General features: G+C 36.8%; 1 annotated feature.

Annotated features, from left to right (window-relative positions):
* Positions 1073 to 2272: an enhancer, noted in NCBI's record as "BRD4-independent group 4 enhancer chr3:78315096-78316295 (GRCh37/hg19 assembly coordinates)". NCBI's record gives its function as "activates an origin of replication core promoter dependent on BRD2, P300/CBP, MED14 and CDK7 cofactors, and independent of BRD4, by STARR-seq in HCT116 cells {active_cell/tissue: HCT116}" and the evidence as "EXISTENCE:reporter gene assay evidence [ECO:0000049][PMID:35650434]".

The following is a 2543-nucleotide window of genomic DNA, read 5'->3' as shown; positions in this document are numbered from 1 at the left end:
AACTTGCCCATACACTCATTCCACTACTGCCACTACCATCATCCAAGGAAGTCACTTAGAGGCCCAAGAATTGGCCCACCTATACCTGCTAACATGGAAGCCAGTACATACTGCTCTGGGGCTCAAGGACAGGCATGCTCAGCCCAATGCTGCTACTACTGGGGCCTGAAGATCGGCCCATCTGGCATCTTAGTCCCCAGCAAAACTTCACCACAGCCTTCTCTAATAACCATACCCTAAGCCACTGAGGAAATCACAGATACCACTGATACTGTTTACAGCCAAATAAATCATACAGAGTCTACTCTACTGCATGCACCCACAATAAAAGCCAAAGTGTCCAAGCCACCCAACAATATCTGTACATCTTTAGGGAAAAATCCTCCCCAGTGCAACAAAATTTTAAAAATTGAAAGAAGTGACTGGTACACCAAATGCATAGATATAAATGTAAGGACACAGAATACACAAAAAAGCAAAGAAATATGATACCTCCAAAGAAACACTAGATAATTCTGTAGCAATGTATCTTCAATCAAAAAGAAATCACAAAATTCACAGAACTTAAAATATTGATTTTTAAAAAGCTAGACAAGATACAAGAGAATTCTAAAAACCAACACAGAGAAAACAGAAAAACAATTCAAGTTATAAATGAGAAATTTACAAAAAATATAAATATTTTTAAAAAGAACCAAACAAATTCTGGAACTGAACACTTTATTTAACAAAATGCAAAACACATTAGAAAACTTCAACAACTGCTAGGTCTAGCAAAAGAAAGGATTTCAGAACTTGGAGACTGGTCTTTTGGAGTAAAACAGTTGGGCAAAATTTTTTAAAAATAATAAAATGAATAAGCAAAGCTTTTGTGACATTTGGGAAAACAAAAAGCAACTGAACAGCTGAATTATTGGTGCCCCTATGTGCAAAGAGAGAGCAAAAGGGCTAGAAAACCTATTGAAAAAAGTAATGGATGAATACTTTCTTAGTCTAATAGGAGACTTTGACATTAAAATACAGAATGCTCAATGATCTCCAAACAGATACATGCAAAAAGGTCCTCACCACAGCACATTATAGTCAAACGGTCTAAAGTCAAAGATAAAGAAAGGATTCTAAAGCTAGCAATAGAAAAGCATCTAATCACCTATAAAGGAACCACCATTGTAGCAGGACGAGCTGCAGACAAAACCCCTCAGACACCGAGTTGTAGAAGGAAGGGCTTTATTCAGCTGGGAGCATCAGCAAGCTACTGTCTTAAAATCTGAGCTCCCCGAGTGCAAAATTTCTGTCCCTTTTAAGGGCTCACAACACTAAAGATTTCACATGAAAGGGTTGTGATTGATTGAGCAATCTAGGGGGTATGTGACAGGGGCTTCATGCACTGGTGGTCAGAGTGAAACAGAACAGAGCTGGGAGTTTCACAATGTTCTTACATACAATGTCTGGAATCTATGGATAACATCAGTTGCTAAGTCATGAGTTGAATTTTAACTAGTAGGTTTAGGCCAGGCAGGCCCAGGCCTGGTTTCGGGCCTGGCGCCAGGCTGCCTGCCTTTGGTTTCACTTCCTTGTTTTTTTCCTTAAAACAGGTACTGAGTATAAAACAATATAAAACAATATAAGAGGGTCTCTCTCTTCCCTCACCATCAGACTAAGAGTGGATTTCTCAGCATAAACCTTACAGGCCAGGAAGAAATGGGATGACATATGCAAAATGATGAAAGAAAAAAAAAAGGAAAAGGAAAACCTGCCATACGAGGATACCATATACTGCAAATTATTCTTCATAAATGAAGGAGAAAGAAAGCCTTCCCAGAGAAGCAAAGTGAGGGAATTAATCTCTACTAGTCTGATCTTACAAGAAATCCACAAGGGAGTCCTTAACCTGTTAAAAGAGGCCACTTACCATCATGAAAACACACAAAAGTAAAAAACTTATTGGTTAACCAAACACATAAATTAGGAAGATAAAAAATCTCAGATGATAACATTGTAGAAAACCACCAAACCACAATGACAATCAGAAGGAGGAGAAAAAGGAACAAAGAATATATAAAATAACCAGAAAACAATTAACAATATCACACAAACAAGACTTCACATATCAAAAATAACCTTGACTATAAATGGATTAAATTCTCCACTTACAATACACAGACTGGCTGAATGGATAAGAAACATGATCCAACTACATGCTGCCTACAAGAATCACACTTTATTTGTAAAGATACATATAGACTCAAAGAAAAGGGATGGAAAAAGGTATTCCATACAAACAGAAACCAAAATGAGCACACATAGCTATGCTTATATCAGATAAAAGAAACTAAGTGAAAAAAATTAAAACAAAACAAAAACAAAGAAGATCCTTACATAATGATAAAAGGACATAGCAGGAAAAGGAAGAGGAAAAAGACACAGCAATTCTAAATATATATGCACTGAAATTGGAGTACTCATATTCATAAAACAATTATTACTGAATCCAAAGAGACAGACTCCAGTACAATAATAGTGGGGGACTTCAACATCTCATT

The sequence above is a fragment of the Homo sapiens genome, chromosome 3 (genome assembly GCF_000001405.40).
Source record: "Homo sapiens chromosome 3, GRCh38.p14 Primary Assembly".
Lineage (NCBI taxonomy): Eukaryota > Metazoa > Chordata > Mammalia > Primates > Hominidae > Homo > Homo sapiens.
This window is presented reverse-complemented; position numbering and strand designations above follow the sequence as displayed.